The following is an 18,572-nucleotide window of genomic DNA, read 5'->3' as shown; positions in this document are numbered from 1 at the left end:
CTGGTTCAAATGATACCTATTTTTGAAAACAGCATGAACAAGACAGTCTCCCTTCTGAATCTGCTTGTCATATTTTGCTTGAGCAAGGGGAACTCCAGAGGCCATACAATTCCCATCTTGTTTCCCAACATACCTTCATGAGTTGGGACCCAAACCAATGCCCATTTTGTCGTCTCTCCTACCATTCTTTCATCCAAAAATAAAATAATTTTCATCTTCTTTAAGCCTTTTGCTCTGTGTGTCACCATCTGAGAACCTTAAACATTGGCCATCCTTAAGTCTCCATCATCTTAATATCTCTCTCCCTTTGCACTTTTTAGCCTTTCTACGTTTTGAAGGCTTTAAATGACACTAAATGGTCTCTATCAGTGATATAAATCAAATTTATTCCAGAATCATTTTTGAGCAAGTCATGTTTGCCAGAAAAAGTGCAAGGTGCTGGGAACAGGTGGTGAATCAGGTAAACATGGCCCCTGAAGTTGTGGAACTTCATCTAGTGGAAGAAACAGTAAACACTGAAAAGCATACACACATGGCAATAGTGACGAGCCCAATAAAGGAAACGCACAGAGTACTAAGAGAATGCAACACTATGTGACCAAATTTAGGTTGGAGAATCAGGCACGCTCCTTCTGCAGAAATGATGCTTCAGTTATGATCTGAAAGATAGCAAGACACCATCTGCCTTGATGAGGTATTAATAACATGACAAGAAGTGTGCATTATGTGTGCATTATGAGTACAATGTACTCCTGGAACATTTTATCTTCGTAGGAAGCCAAGTATTAAAATATTGTTTTTGATGGAAACCTTCTTTAAAATTACATGAAAAAATTTGACTTCAATTAAAGTGACAATAGAAGGATTAGTACTCACTTGAATTGTGTTATTAAAATAATGCCATCTGCCACTATCATAAACCCCACTGCAGAGTTCAGATAGTATTATAAATAAGGAAAGCATCTCTCTGTTACACTGATGATGCCTGATTTAAGCTCAGTGTTTTTAGTGGTGTGCATGGCCTTTACAGTGCATGTGCCTTAGTCTTATTTCTGCCAGAAATATCTTTGTGTTGTCCTCCACTGTGGCAGAGCCTTTATATTTTATATGTGAGCATAAAATACAACAGGTGGCCTATTTGAACATTCTGATTATTTCCCCATTGCAAAATACTTTGCAGCAACCTAAAACACTTCGCAACAACCTAAAAAATTAGTAACAATGAGGCAGCGACCAGATAGATATCTGATGTCCCAGGGATAATGGGGCCATAGCCAGGGGTGGGTTGAGCTGACTACCAGCATTTTGGGATGCAAGTTAGGAAGCACATAAGATGACTTTAGTATGGCAGAAAGAATAGGTGCAATGTGCCTCACAAATAAATTCTCATTCCAAGGTCTGCTCTTTCTTGCTTTCCATTCAAAAGCCACCAACCACGGCATTCCCACCTTCTAGTTTACATCTGCCATAAATTTCTATCTTCCATTTGGTCTCGTTTATTCTCCATTTTTCTTCAAGCATCTTCATGGCTTTAAAAGCAGATTCCTTTACCTCAATTTTGATTTTCTGAAATATCTGTCAAAAATGTATTATTCCTCAAAAATAATGTGTGGAATAATATTTGTAGCATAGCATGTACTTATCAATGCCTTAAACAGAATATATTAATTTGGATTTAATTTGGAGAATGTTAAATCTTACTTTTTGAGTTTAGTAGCACCTAGAAAATGTAAGCTCCTGACTTGAACTGTTAAATTAGATATTATGTTTTAAAAACAACATTTTGCTTATTTACTTATTTATTTACCACTGAAAACAGGTGAAAGGCAGTAAACTGTAGTTCTCAGCAACATTAAATTTGGAATCAGATGGACCTTGGTTCAAATAAAAGAGGATAAGGATCTTAACCTTACGAGTTTATCATGATGACCGAATCATACGACACTCCCAGCATTTACAGGGCTTGGGGTCAGGGTACAAATGGAGACCCACATCTTCTATGTCTAGATATTTAAAAGTTAGATATAACACTAATCGCTATTAAATTAAAATGTCCTCTACCCTCTGCCTTCACAAATACATCTTCATAATGACAATATTAACAAAAACATATAAACCTATGTTTTGTACATGACTAAAAATTGCCAAAATGTTAGACAGCTGAGTTTATCATTATATATCTGGAAGTTTTACTGATGGGCCAATGAGGTTTAGGTGAATAATAAGACAAATACATACATAATTTATAATTATTATTTATTCTATAATTTTTTTTTTTGAGACGGAGCCTTTCTCTGTCACCCAGGCTGGAGTGCAGTGGCACGATCTCGGCTCACTGCAATCTCCGCCTCCTGGGTTCAAACAATTCTCCTGCCTCAGCCTCCCCAGTAGCTGGGATTACAGGCACTCACCACCACGCCCAGCTAATTTTTGTATTTTTAGTAGAGACGGGATTTCACCATGTTGGCCAGGCTGGTCTCGAACTCCTGACCTCGTGATCCGCCTGCCTCTGCCTCCCAAAGTGCTGAGATTACAGGCTTGAGCCACTACGCCCGGCCTAGAATTTATTTTTGATGCCACTTTAGCAAAATCACTATGTTGTAATCAACATTTTCATTCACTGTACATTGTTTTCTATTATCAGTAATGATTTAAGGAGTAAAAAAAATTATATTTCTAGCCAAACGATAAATATTTATGTATTTTTTTTTACTAAAATGTAAGTTTTATTTAGGTTTTGAGAGAAGTTATTTTTCTTTTAAAAGTCAACACTATCAGCCAGACACAGCAGCTCATGCCTGTCACCCCAGCAATTTGAGAGGCCAAGGTGGGCGGATCACTTGAAGCCAGGAATTCAAGACTAGCCTGGCCAACATGGTGAAACTCCATCTCTACTAAAGAAAAAAAATGCAAAAATTAGCCGGACGTGGTGGTGCATGCCTCTAATTCCAGCTGCTCGGGAGGCTGAGGCGTGAGAATCACCTGAACCCCAGAGGCAGAGGTTGCAGTGAGCTGAGATCTGGCCACTGCACCCCAGCCTGGGTGATGGAGTGAAACTGTGTCTAAAAAAAAAAAAAATATATATATATATATATATATATATATATATATATATATATATATACTCAACATTATTTTATAAAATTCAAACATAAATTTCAAAGGTAAATACAAACTACAGTTAATAAATATCAAGTACTTAAATAAAAATTGAATATAGCTAAAGTTAAAATATTTTTGAATATGTAATTACATCTTATTAGAATTTTACAGAAATGAAATTTGTAATTCCAGTGTTCAGTGGCATCCAGATGACAATTTGTAGAATAAGTGGTGTGTTGGAGTGTTTGTGTATATTTCTACCCTGCTTAGCCATGTTACACTGGCAGCTTGAAATCAGTCATGACAGAAGTATGTAAACTACGAAAATTGGCCAACACTACAGTTCGGGCTTTTCCCCCAGAGAATCGGCTTTTAAATATTTGCCAGCACACTACTGAGTATTATGTTTCACCCAAGAGAAGCCTATGATGTGATCGGAACTTTTCAGAGAGAAGAAATTATCAATTGAATCAAATGCTGCTGGAAAATTGAATGTGATGAGGGAAAGAACCATGTCTATAAATGTGTTAACAGTGAAATTCTTGGTTCTTTGATAAGAGAGTTTAAATGGGGAGGTGACAAGGAAAGGCAGACTGGTCTGTTTGAAGACCAATGGAAAGTAAAGAATTGTAAATCTGAGGTATAAGTATTTTAAGAAGTGTGGCTACAGGGGAAGCAGAAAATTGGGATGGTGAATGGAGAACAGTTATAGTTCATTTAAGGTGACTCATCGTTGACATGATATATGATTTCCCCTTAATGAGAATTAAGGACTTAGGTTATTTAAAAATGTTCATTAAAATCAATGTTATAAAGTCTTCTTATGGGAATAGCTCTCTATAGCATACATAACATTGTGTTACTTCGATCCAGAAGACCTAGAAGGTGGGGGTTATATTCAAAATATTTATATAACATTAAACATCATTTGAAAGTACAAAGAATAATTTTTCTTTAGCTGAAATTGAGTTGCATAGCTCTTTAATTATACATTCGTGATGATATACATTAGAGAGATGGGTTTGGAATTAAACTGTGCCAAATTAACAAGAGGCTGTGTCTATTAAAACTAAAAACCGAGCCAATATCTTTGCAATATTGTTAAATAATAATCATATTGTATCTGAAGGTTTAAAATAATTATTAAAATTTTGAAGATAATAGTTAATGTTCATTGGGTCGTACTATTGCCTAATCTGTGACAAGCACATCTGTCATCCCATTGTCTCTTCATAGAATCATCTCCAAGACATTATGAAGTAGGAACTGTTACCTCTCCCCACTTTATGGGTGATTAGATAGTTTAAGTAACTTGATTAGGTTTATAGAGATGAAGTTTGAACTCCAGCAGTTTTACTGATTCCAGGTGGTTCAGAAAACAGCATCTAGGGCTTTCTTTTTTAGGTCAAGGAATTGCCTATAAATTTCTCCCTGCTATAGATCATGAGGTTCTTCAGTATAGAAATGGATTCTTTTTCTTCCTGGCACCTTGTCGTATAGCAGCACAGTGTCTATACACAACATGTGCTTAACAAACATATGCTGCACTGGATAGTTAGTTCAGTGATAGAAACTGCCTCAATTTTAACAATTATTTTCACAGAAAATATAGGATTTATATAGTACTAATTTTAAGCAGCAAAGTCAACATTCAGAAAAATCTGAATGAAGTTCTAAATCTTCAAGAATGTTACTATTGTACCCTACCTGGGAACTTTGCCTAGAATCTCAGTTCTACCCCATCACTCTTGTCTGAATTGTCTGAATATTACTGCCTTCTTGCAAAGTTGCATTGCTGGAGGTTTATCTTCTCACACGTAATCTATTGGCAAGTGAGATTTTTTTTTTTAAAGACTCAGCATTACTTGAAATCAAAGACAAAAGGGTGATCGTAATGAGTTTAAGAGAATGACTATGTATACTCATGTATTCATGGCATCTGTGTGCATTAATTTTCAATATGATTTATCCTAAGTGAAAAAAAGATAAGTATCATATTTGATCCAAAATATTTTTTTGAGTAGAAAGAAAGATTCTAAGATTAATTTTTAAAAACTGTGATGGATGAATAGAAAATATGAAGGGAGAGGTTAGTTAGATGGGCTCCATTTGTTCATCAGTTAAGTTTGATACATAATTTATTACAGTATTTACTCCCGACATCAAAGGAATTTTAGTTATGACTTAGATTGCCATGCATCCTTGTGTTAACAGGATGACTTGGGGCTTCTGTGATAATTATAAAATGATGGCAGTACCTATGAAACCTACAAGGGAAGTCTGGGACTACGTCAGAGAAAGTAGCATTTGTGGAACTTTTGAGCCAGATACCACTAACATAAACTGTTCCTTTTCATTTCATTTAAGAGTGTTTCAAAAAGCCCATAGATTTAACAGTGGCACAAATATGGATGGTCATTTTGGTCACAAGGACTAACAAATCTCTGTGGCTAACAGGAGGAAGGGTTCTTAGGAATTCAAGAATAATAACTGTTGTATAAGACCCTTAGCAACAGCGTCTATGTCATCTCTCCTTCTGCCTTAAACATGACTCAGCTCTTTTAGATTCTGCATCTCTGGGGTCATTTTGTCATTTCCTCTCAGAAATGACAGATCAAAGAGATCATTCTCTACTCCATCCATATTTTCTCTACCTATAGCATCTCTTCTTAATAATTCAGCTCATTCATAATTATTACATAACAAACTTTTTTTCCTCATAATTCTTTAGTTTCTCTTCCAGTTACTAATGGTCCAATTCTTTTAGTATGTCCCTATCTGAATTTCCAAGAGGAAACGATCTCATTGACCTAGCTCTTTCTTACTTGGGTAGAATGTTTTGAACTCAGGTCACTTCATTATCATTGGCAAGCCTGTAGATTAACCATTTTATGTTAGCTATCTAACCCTGATTTAATAGTTATAATGGAACCTTGAGAGTGTGCCAAGATAATTAACTGGGAAACAATCATCTTTATTTATTTTATTTTATTTATTTGTTTAAAGACTGTCGTGTTCTGTGGTCCAAGCTGGAGTACAGTAGTGTCGTCTTGGCCCACTGCAACTTCCACCTCCTGGGTTCAAGTGATTCTCCTGCCTCCGCCTCCTGAATAGCTGGACAGGGTCTTGCTATGTTGCCAAGGCTGGACTCAAACTCCTAGGCTCAAGCAATCCTCCTGCCTCAGCCTCCCGAAGTGCTGGAATTACAGGTATGAGCCACTTCACCTGGCCCAGGTTCTTTTTGATCTCACAAGCAGAGGGAGTTTCAGTGTCTGACCAGGCTGTTTCTTTTCTGTTGTCCTGTAAACTCAAGAATTTTTGTTAGTTACTGTTTTCTTACTCTTTGGGGGCAGAGTTTGAGTTTAGGCATCTCAGCATATTGTTTCTTCTCTTATCTACTATCCTGTAAACCTAAGAATTTGGCCATTGGTTTCCTTAAGTCTTTGGGGCACGGTTTCATATGTATATACCACATTATGTTTATCCATTTATTTGTTGATAGACACTGAAGTTGATTCTGTATCTTGGCTATTGTGTATAATGCTGCTATGGACATGGTGGTACATGTTTGAATTCCTGCTTTTAATTCTTTTGAATATATACTGAGAAGTAGAATTACTGGATTATATAACAATTCTACTTTTAATTTTTTCTCACAAACATGTTTTTAAAAATGTATTGGATATATGTAGTTTTAAAAAATTTCATTGACAATGAGCCTTGAAGCTAAAATGAAAAAATACTTCAGTTATCTTAAGAGAATGATTTTAGGAAGTAAATATTAAGATATAATTTCTGTTGGCAATTAACAATTCTGCTGCAAAGTACACATAATTCACTTGTTCCCTTTAAATAATCCATTATAGCTAGTCATGGAAACAGAACTTTATTCTGCTAAGAATCTCTGAATGCAATGTAACTATTCTTGGAATCTTGAACTAAAACAGGGGAAAAAATAATATCAGACTGCTGAAGTTGAATAACAGTTACTGAAAGGGACTCTAATAGATTTTTGGGAACCCTACTAATGCTATAACTGCTTTTCAGTTGACAACACAGTTTTTTTTTCTAAGCCCAGAGCCAATTGAATAGCAAGTCTTCCTTTGGATGTATGTTCATGTAAAATGCTGATAATAATTATTACAAATGTAAGCTACAACTATATATCTTGTTTATGCCAGTTACCATGTCTAACATTACACATGATCATATGAAATACAGCAGATTACAAGGTAGCTTTGTACACTTATCATTTTATTAATAGCAGAGCCTGCAGCTGCCCCCAACCATCCCCCCTCCTTAATGACTCCTGAGTTTTAGCTGGGCATATGACAGAATGCTTTCCAAATCTCCTCTACAACTCTATTGCACTAATAGAATATGAACATAAGTGACTGTTACAGAGAAGAAATAAACTTCTAATTTGTTTAAGATATCACATTTTGGGGCCTCTGTTTTAGTAGTTAGGTCTTAAACTTACTGTTACAATTTCTTTTATGGATAAGAAAATGTTACTTAACTTGCCTAGCTAACTCAACCAGGTTTTGAACACTGCAGATGGAAGCCCAAATCTCATACTCTTAATAGCTATGATGTTCTACTTCACACCTTGGGAACATCGTGAACATCATATACACTATCATTAGCATTCCTCTACCACCTCATTTTTCATGAAGCAAAATCATGAGCTTGCTGCACATATCAAGACAGCAGGAGCAACAAGGCGCATAAGGTAGGGAGGAGTCGAACCAGTCAGCATGTCTGGAATAGAACATGGCCTCAGTGCTGGCAAGAGCCTACATTCAAGAAGGGGAGATAGATGGAGCCCTAAAACAGCATTGCATGCCCAGAGACCATAACTATTAGGCTTTAGTCAGGCAGAATTCATAAACATTTCTGTTTGTAGCACTCAAATACTCACAATTTTTCAGTGCCTCCTTACTGTCTTCATGGTGTAGAACCAACTCCTTAGCTTAACATATAAGGCCTACCTCATCTCTTCCAAGCCTGTCTCTCCAGGCTCATCATCTCTCCATCCTATTTATGTGCTTCTGTGGCCCAAGAGCAGTGAAATAGTCTTCCTTGAATATACAACGCTTTCATAACTTTACTTTTGCTTGTCCTCTGAATTGTGCTAAGGGTCTCTTCCCTGAGCCATCTCCATTTAATAGATTCCTGATTAGGACTTTTTATAAGTCTGATTCCAGCACTCAGAATGCCTGGCACAGTTAAGTACTCAATGCATGTCAGTTGGATAAAAGAATAAGGGATTATACTAAAGTATAATTAGTAGATTAAAATTAAATATAAAAGTATAGCTTATTATACAATATATATTAGATATGAGAAAATGATAATAATTGTATTATGGCATCATTTTACATTTGTATGTATTGAAATATATTGTTACTTTCATACCTGGCTGCCAACTATAAGATCAACCTGTCAGCTATGACTATCTTTATAGGAAAGAAAAATAATTAGACCAGCAATGAGAAAATACGTTATTTATTAATTGAATGCTGTAATTTATTAGAGAAAAACAAAGCAAAACAAAACATGGTGAATTTATTTACTCTTAACATTTTATTTTTAAAATTGTATGTATTTATTTTGCATAACATGCTATTTTGAAGTATATATACATCGTGGAATGATTAAGTCTAGCTAATTAACAAATGCATTTACCTCACAGTTATTTTTGTAGTGAGAACACTTAACATCCAGTTCATTAGCATTTTTAAGGGTACAGTATGTCGTCAGTATTGTCATCATGCTGTACAGTAGATGTCTTGATCTGAGTCCTGCTCTCTAACTGTAAGTATATATCCTTTGACCAACATCTTCCTAATCCCCTCATCCAACATAACCATTCCAGCCTCTAGTAAACACCATTCTAATCTCCATTTCTATGAAATCAACTCTTTTAGATTCCACATATGAATAAGAACGTGTGATATTCTGAAGCAGCCTCGTTTGTCTGGGGTAATATCCAAGGTTCGTTGTCTCACGCTGAGGAAATCAAGGACACAGAAACACAAGGAGTGAGGTTAAGAGCGGAGGTCTAATAGGCGAAAGAAAAAGAAGAGCTCTCTCCTGCAGAAAGCGGGGTCCTGAATGCATTTCCACTTCCGCGGTGAAATGCAGTAGTAGCCTTTATAAATGAGCTTGAGAAGGTAGTGTCTGATTTACAGAGGGCAGGAAAGATGGGTCAGACCAGGTGTGCTATTTGCATAAGGCACGAAAAACTGGTTAGGGCTAGGTGTGCCATTTGCATAGGGCACAAAAAGCTGGTTGTCCCCACCCTAATCTTTTATTATGCAGATGGGTTTTCTACCTGGCAAGCGCCATGGTGCCTGATTTTTTACTGTGCACGTGGTAACAAATAAAAGGGAAAATGCAGCCTCCATGTTGAATATGCCCGACCCCTGGTAGCGTTTTTCGATTGGCACAGCTGCTGGCATTCACCCACGGAAGCTTCCAGCTTGCTTATCTATGTTTGGAGCTCAATTTTTCAGGCTGCTCTTTGTTAGAAAACAATCATTTCTCGGGCTGCTTTTTGTTAGAACGGAAGCCTTGCCAAGGACTCTTTTACCCTCACTATCTGCCTAAATAATTTATATCTCCTGTATCAATTTGTCTTTCTTTGCCTGATTTAATTCACTTAACTTAATGTCCTCTAGGTTCACCCATGTTGTCACAAGTGACAGAATTTTCTTCTCTTTTTTTATGGCTGAATATCATTTTATTGTGTATATATACTGCATTTTCTTTATCGTTTCATCACTAAGGGATGAACACTTAGGTTGATTTCATATCTTGGTTATTGTGAGTAATGCTGCAGTGAACATGGGCATACAAATACCTCTTCAACATACTGATTTCATTTCCTTTGGCAATGAGATTGCTGGATAAAACGTAGCAACTGAATTCCAATATGTGAAGAAAATAATTTTTATCGAACTTTTGAATTTTTATGTGGTTATTGGAGTGAGTGCTATTATGAAAAAATTGAGTTGTTCTGGGCTGTCTTTTAGAATGTCTCCATTTCTGTAAGTTAAAACACTTGGCAATACCAGCATCTTATGAAATACTAATGAACAAAATCTATAAAATAAATTGTTGGAAGTTATCCACTGGGACCCTCTCTATGGAATGAGAGGCATTGATAACTAATGGTCTTAATTAGTGTATGATGAAGACAGTTAACATTCTTGATCCAACAAAATCCATGCACTTTCTATTTTGAAAAAAGATAAATGTTGCTATATGGCCTGGCTTCTATATCCAAATGATCTTTCCTTCCATTGGTGCTAACCAGATGTTGTAACTATGAAGGATTTAAATTTCTGTTAATGTCAGAAGCAGCAAACACCGGGGGACTAGCGAACATCATGTATTATAGCATTGATGGCTAAGGATACTCTCTGACTTAGAAGACTGGTGTGGGAAATGGACCATGTGACTTTTCATGGTGCAACTAACTCTAAGTTTCTGACATTGAATACAAATAGGAACTTAGCATTTGTTTTGTTTGATTCTTATAACCTTTGCCATGAAGAAGTAACAATCAGAGATCTCTTCTGAAGAATATCTAATAAAAATTTATACAATAATTCTAAAAATGCCAATATAATAGTAAATATGAAAAAGTAAGCTTCAATATTAACACAATCATTTAATTTTTTTGAAAGGCCACTTTTAACATATGAAAAATTTTCAAAACATACTGCAAAGTTGAAAGAATTTCACAGAGAACCTCTTTATACCTACCATCCAGTTTCTACCATTTATTGTTTTAATATGTGTTGCTCCATCTTATTTTTGATGCATTTTAAAGTAGATGCAGAGATAAATATACTTTTTCCTGAATACTTTGGTATGCATAAAGTTAATTAGAACTTACTTTAAAAATGATTTTAATTTAGAAGTTACATATAATGGAATGTCCAAATCTTTAGGATACATTCGCTTAAGAAATAGAAATAATATATGCTCTTTTATCTAACTGAAATTTTGTATCTTGTGACTATAGTTAAAAATAATATATTGCATGTTTGAAAAGTGCTAAGAGAGTGAATGTTAAGTGTTCTCACTGCAAAAATGATAACTATATAAGGTAATGTATAGGTTGATTAGCTAGACTTAATCTTCTACAATGTATAAATACTTCAAAACATCATGTTATACATGATAAATACATAAACTTTTATCTGCCAGTTAAAAAATATTTAAATGAAAAGAACATGCCCAGCACTTTAGGAAGTTTTCTCATGCCTCCTTCTAGTCAATTCCTGCTATTGCTTCTCTGGAAACAACTGCCATTCTGACTCTTTGCCACCAGAGATTAGCATTGCCTCTTCTGGGACTTCATGTAAAAGTCATCCTATGACTAGGTGGTAGGTATATCTATGTTCTCTCTAAAATTCTTTCAACTTTGCAGCATGTTTTGGCAATTTCTTATAATATGTGTTGGCTTCATTCACATGACCTACTGTTTTTGGGATTCACCCACGTTGTTGCCTGTTTCAATAGCTTATTTAGTTAATATTTGTGAGCATAAAAGAAAGCGAACCTTAATATTACACTCAATATCACTCATGATAATGCATTAAGTACACTAGATATTCAATGAATGTCCATCTAATTTATTAATAACTGAATGAATGTTAAGTAGATCTTCCCCGAAAGGCACATGTTAAGACACAATAAACATTTTCTGTCTGTCATTTGCCACATAAGCCACAACTGGTCAGGTTGCTGACAGATGACATAAAATACACATAAGTATCAAGTATCTGAACCCATTCAGGAGCAGCTGTGTCACACGTCATGGATCAGGTGTGAGTGCATTAGAGACACCATCCATGGCAGTTTATAAAATATGTTTTCTTCTCATAGTCCTGTGCAATAAGAAAAGCCATGAAAATAACCATGAAGTTATTCACATAAAATAGAAGCTATAACTGTATATGGTGATAGCACTGTATTGTAGTTAATGCTTTCAATGCTTTAGTTAGTGAATACCATATAAATGGAGAGAAAAATCTTTATGTATCTTATAAAATAATAAATATACTGTGAGTTCAAAACTGGAAACAGCCTACCCCCATTTATTAATTACTATTACTAAATGTATTAATTTCACCCCAATTGAAGACTCAAAAACAGTATGAGAGGCCTAGTCATTTATCAAAGTACAAATAAGAAGAGAGAGAAAGAGACAGACACACAGAGAGAGAGAGAGACTGAGAAAGCCAAATGTTCAAGCATGCCTCAGTAAAGAGAAAGTTGAGATAAAAAGTGACAAAAGTTTTTAAACTGCTGAGACACATATACAGCCGGAATCCATGTACTACTGGCCCCAATGAGCAAGAGATTATACACACCTTCCCTGTATCCAGACCCTCAGTGCCTGTCAGGAAAATTTTGATTTTGTGACCATGGATCAAAATCACTGCCTCAGGAAAATGACAATTATAATATATATATTGGCCAGCACACTTACAAACGTGAATACTAATCACAAAGAGCATAGGACTCAAGGTTACACCAAGCATATGTAAACATAAATTAGTTCAAAACAATTCTCTAAATTAACGTGACATTCTTCAACTAAAATTAGGCCTGTGGGCATTTAGAGGAATTTAGAGTCAGAAGATAGATCAAGTACCTCAAGGAAATCCACAAGGAAGTGCATTACATACAATGAATGAGCCCTTGTTGAGTGACACGTGATCATTTTTAAGTTTTATACACTGGTAGGCAAACTACTGTTTGCAATCATGCAAATTATTTGAAAAACATTAAATTGGAACCTTGATACAAGTAGATTGGGGAGTCATTTGGGGACTTCAATTGAACACATTTCTAAATTATCACAGATTCAGTTAATATTACATATGTGAAACATTTAACATAGAAAATGATATATAATTACATACATATAAATTGTAAGATATATAGACATGCATGAATACACAAATACGCATAGTTCTGTATCTATATCCATTCAATGAGTATTTTTTAAAGAATTTTTTTCTTTTTTGCTAGGCACAGTGGCTCATACCTGTAATCCCAGCACTTTGGGAGGCTGAGGCAGGAGGATTCCTTGAGGCCAGGAGTTTGAGACTAGTCAGGCAACAAAGCAAGACCCCGTCTCTACAAAAAAAACGAAAACATTTGCCAGGCTAATTGTGTGATGGTATGTGCCTGCAGCCCCAGCTACTCAGGAGGCTGAGATAGGAGCATTATTAGAGCCCAGGAATTTGAGGCTCCAGTGAGCTATGATCATGCCACTGCATTCCAGCCTGGGTGACAGAACAAGATTCTGCCTCTAAAGAAAAAAAAAAAATCTGTGACAAGCGCTGTATAACGTACTAGAGAAACACTGATAAACAAGATAGGCAGTTCTTGTATTATTTGAAATTTATCATACAATACAATTTCAGACTATATTGCATATCATAGTTCAGTGGTTTCCAAACCATATATATGTATATACATATACATATGTATATGTATATATGAAATGTGTATATGTTTATGTATGTATATGTATTCATATGCATACTTTTATTATGTATGTATATGTATTCAGATGTATACTTTTATTTTAACACAATTTCAGATTTAGAGAAAAATTATGAAGATAGTAGAGTTTCCATATATTCCCACTCAACTTCCCCTATTATTAACATCTAACATGAGTTTGGTGTATTTGTTATATTTGTTACAATTAACGAACCAATATTGACACACTATTATAAACTAAATTCAACACTGTACTTTATTCAGGCTCCCATCCAGGATAGCACATTACATTAGTTGTCATGTCTTCTTTGGCTCCTATTGGCTCTGACAGTTTCTCAGAATTATCTTGTTTTTGACAATCTTGCTTGTTTTCAGGAGTACTGCTTAGAAGCTTTGTATAATGTCCCTCAACCGGACTTTGTCTGATGTTTTTCTTGTGATTAGACTTCACTTATGTGTTCTTGGGAGAAAGACCACTGAGGTAAAGCGCCATTCTCATCACATCATATGAAGTGTACATACAATTAACGTGACCTACCACTGTTGATGTTAACCTTGATTACCTAGCTGAGACAGTTTTTGGTCAGGTTTCTCCCCAGCAAAGTTATTCTTTTTCCTCTTTTCACACTCTACTCTTTGAAAGGAAATCACTTTGCATAGCCTACCCATAAGGAGCGGGGAATTATGTTCCACCTCTTTAAGAGCAGACTGTCTGTAGGATTCTTTTGCGTAGTACATTTGTCTATTCTTCCCTCACTTATTTATTTTTAATCATTTATATTACTATGAACTCATGGGTATTTATTTCATGCTTTGGGTTATAGTTCAATGCTACTTAATTTTTCTGCTCAAATTGTTCCAGCTTTGGTCATTGATGGATCTTTCAGCCAACTTTTGTGTCCCTTTGTCATATCTCCATAATTTTTTGTTAACACTTCTTTCTAACACTACTCCAGGCTGATCTTGTATATTTTTTCCCCAATCCTCAAATCAGCATTACTCTAAGAAATCCTGGTTCCTTTTCTGGAGAATAATATAAGAAACCTGGAGCCAGGCATAGGTATGCTCTTTGCTACTGGGGTATCATTAATTTAGGGCTGATGAGAAATGAAAATATATGTGTGTGTACCAACTATATATATATATATACATTTTTATACATATTTCTATAGGTAACCATATGTATTTATGTTTAGCTAAACATGAATTCATACTGGCATATCCAACACTAATCCATTACCATTGAATGATTCTATTCTTTCCCTGTGTGAAATAAAATATCCTACACATAATGAATTTTTAAAGCCTTTACTGAAAATACTCCAACCACCTTAGAATGAACCCTAAACTTGCATGGAGGTTCTAGAGCAGACAAACAGATGCCCATAGTCATTTACTTGAGTGATGCACTTCCACCTTCCAGGAATATTATTCTCTTCAGCAGACTATAAGCCTCCTGAAAAGATATATAGTCAGATAATTCAACTCTGGCAATTAATTAAAGCTGCTTATTATGCTAACACATTACCAGTTCTTAAACCTAATAGACACACAGGGCAAATACACACAGAGCTTTTCTTTAAAAACTAATTAGACATCTCAGAAAACTCTAGCCTCAGTGTTTCTTTAAGGTCATTTTTCTCTAGCACTACATTATTTTCTTTCTGAAATTGGCTCATCACAGGGTTTTTGTAACATTGTGTTTAGCAAGACTTGCCAAATTTGTCCTATTTTTTTCCTTGGCGTTCCCTGGACATAGCCATGGGTGATGATTGCCTCTTTTCTATAAAATACATATTGCAAGCTCAGAGTAATAGGGATATACTTGTAAGACCCAGTTATATGTTGGAATTATAGTCTACAAAAGTTAAAGGTTGCATATAGTTTGTGAATTATTTTTTGGATAATGTAAAATCAGATTACTTTTTGATAATACTGTGTTGAAATAAATATTTTGGATGAGATTGGTAGAAATGATAAGCTGAAAAAACATTTAAAAATACTTTACTAAAGGGAATCATAATTAGGCAGAAAGAGTTTTAGACTAGGAGGCAGATAACTTGGGTTTTTAGTTTTAATTTTGCCATTATTTCTGGGCAGGTTTAGGGAATGTTTCATCTTCTAAAAAGAACAAAAATAAGATGAGATATGGGGACCTTATTGATCGCTAAAATCTCTTAGAAGGGTGACAAATGCTAGGTATTTGTAAGACCAAAGCTTCAAGCATTTTAGCATTTTTGGAATGCTTAGCTGTCTGATGTTATCTTTACATGAGGAAAGACGACTTATGAGGAAATTTCTTTGTAAAATGTCATATTATTTCATTAGTTTCCATGCTTTCTTTTTGCTTTTATGATTTTTAACAGAAAATTTAAATTTTAAAAATTGACCGAGCATAAATTTGTCTCAGTATGTCTCAAAATGAATTGTTTCTCCATTATTCTGAATTATCAGGAAACATTTTTGTGACATAGAGTATGGTATTTAATATTCCTCACACTTTGTCAGGACATAGTACACATTGTGAAGATGAGCAATGCATGTAGCAGCTGGCCCCTTCAATGTTTCTTCTTTAAGAAAGGAAAGTGGTTGCAAGTTTGCTTTGCTCTCCACTATCTACTTAGTATAACTCCGTACAGAACAAAAGACAGCAGGAACAAACACTTTACATTACTTCAAACCTTTTTTTTTCTACACAAAGCTGGCACAGTGAAGGTTCTCAGTACACATTTGCTACATTCTTCAATTGCATGAGTGAATGAATGGGTAAGTTCCTCAGAAACCTACTATTTTAAGTATATTGCCATTGCCAGGGAAGAGTTCAAAGAACTAAGCCTTGACTTTAGGCTTGACTTAAAAAAATATTTCATGCTCTTCTCTTATCCTTTGGCATTCACCTTTGTGTGTCCTACAGAAATTATTGCTTTGAGTGAGAAAGCCAACACATTTCATAATGTGAACTGTGAAGCTGGTGCAGTTTCAGTGGATTCTCACTATAACCATCATGTCTAAGTATATACACCAAGGAAAGCCAGTTTGGGCCATATAAGCATTATACACTTGTCAGATTTAAATAAACAGATTTCCTGAGACTATGATGTGCTGGTAGGAGGTCCTGACCTTCCACTAACAGGTCTTTTCATAACTGACTCCCAGTGGAAATCTTCAAGTATTTGAGTGTCAATGATCTCCCAGTGGCTGAAGCATGGAAGAGACTGCCTTCTTGGTGAAGGCATTCCAGTTGCTGGAGATCCACGAGAAGTCTGCCTGGCAAACTAGATACTGAGTTCTTCTACAACCAAGCCAAATCCCACTGCTTCCAAAGAATACCTTGAGAAGAAAAGTCAGTAGATCATCTCATATGCACCTGCAACTTCTCATGTCAGAAAAGAATCACAGGTAGAACCGATTTTTATCATTTCAAAGATGATTATTTATAGAAGCTGATAAATCTAATATGTTGGAATTCATAAATATTACTATAAATGTATATTGCACAGTATAGTAAATATAGTAAACAATAACACAGTACATTTCAAAATTCTTAAGAGAGTAAATTTCAAATGTTCTCACCACAAAAATGATGCATGTGAGATGATTGTTATGTTAATTTACTTGATTTAATTATTCTACATTGCATTCTTAGATTATAAGATTATATCTTCTACCCCATGAGAATATACAAATATAATTTGTCAATTATAATTATACAACTAAAGAAATTTTCAAAACTTTAAAAATATTACTCTAAATGTTTTGTTTTTGTAATATTGCCTAAGGCTTTTCAAATTTGGTTTGTTGCTAATATAAGAGAGTCATGTATTGGTAATATGTTGTTGTCTAGCTAGTTCCTATATAGAAAAGAAGATTTTGAAAGTTCTCACTACAATAAATGGTAAATGTTTAAGGTAATAAATTTTCTAATTACACCGATTTGATCACTGCACGATGTATACACTCATGGAAACACCACATTGTGCCCCATAAATAGTACAATTATTTATGTCAATTAAAAATAAAATAAAACTTAAAAAGACACGTAGCTCACTTGAGTACTTCTAAGATCCTGTCTTCAATAGAAAAAGGAAACATTCTTTCCTAGTCTTAGTTGAACTTTTATGTATACCAAAGTAGTATTGCAAGCATTGAAAGCTTCTGATCAAAGGTCCTAAAATATTCCTCTTGAATTCCTAGTAGTAAACGACATTTTCTTTTAAGGTAACAAAGATTGTAGTTTTAGATTATTAGCATCAGCAGTCTAATTTAACTCTTGCAGTGGATGTGGATGTGCTTGAAACAAAGGGTAATCATGTTTTAAAATATCACTTCCAGTGGCAAAATCACTTAACTGATTGTGAATGATCCTTACCCCTGAGATTTATAGTTTATGTAGTTATTGTGCTCATTTCATTCAAATTCAATATCAATTTATTCAATATAACTATTTTTCAATGTATTTTAAAAATAGCATCTCTTCCCTTGCTCCCGTGACAGCTCAGTACAGGAACGTAAGGGCCCTGCTCTTCCTTGTCTTCACCCAGGAACACACAGGCTGCCCCGTCCTGTGACTGTGTGCTCTCCAGACCCTCAAATCCTTACTGGTTATCTGGAGGATGGGGAAAAGATGTAGAGGCTCTCACCAAGGTTTTAGAGCCATGTGATTGTCATCTTCATATCCCCAGAAATCTAATCATGTGATTCATACTCTCTAAAATTTGAGAACAGTCCTCATTTAGTACTGGACAGAATTATGGCCCTCAAAGTTCATATGTTGAAGGCCTAACCCCAACGTGACTGTTCGGAAACAGAGCCCTTAAGAAGGTATATAAGGTTAAATTACATGATAAGGATGGGGCTCTAATTCAATAGGATTGGTGTCCTTATAAGAAGAGGAAGAGATGCCGGGGGTATGCACAGAGGAAAGGCCATGTGAGGAC

The 18,572-nt window shown here is 35.2% G+C and overlaps 1 long non-coding RNA gene and 1 pseudogene across 1 annotated transcript in view, besides 1 other annotated feature; both read left to right on the top strand.

The window, feature by feature from the left end:
- Nucleotides 1–18,572, top strand: part of LINC00437 (long intergenic non-protein coding RNA 437) — a 154,676-nt gene that overhangs the window by 52,271 nt on the left and 83,833 nt on the right. The gene's annotated exons all lie outside the window — the stretch shown is intronic.
- Nucleotides 9,123–9,684: an enhancer, noted in NCBI's record as "OCT4-NANOG hESC enhancer chr13:39198858-39199419 (GRCh37/hg19 assembly coordinates)". NCBI's record gives its function as "activates a minimal SCP1, AML or CMV promoter by ChIP-STARR-seq in naive H9 embryonic stem cells {active_cell/tissue: H9 hESC(naive)}" and the evidence as "EXISTENCE:reporter gene assay evidence [ECO:0000049][PMID:30033119]".
- On the top strand, nucleotides 16,408–16,983 carry PRDX3P3 (peroxiredoxin 3 pseudogene 3; annotated as a pseudogene).

Source organism: Homo sapiens, chromosome 13 (assembly GCF_000001405.40).
Source record: "Homo sapiens chromosome 13, GRCh38.p14 Primary Assembly".
Lineage (NCBI taxonomy): Eukaryota > Metazoa > Chordata > Mammalia > Primates > Hominidae > Homo > Homo sapiens.
The sequence above is the reverse complement of the archived record's forward strand: the minus strand, read 5'-3'. Positions and strand labels throughout refer to the sequence as shown.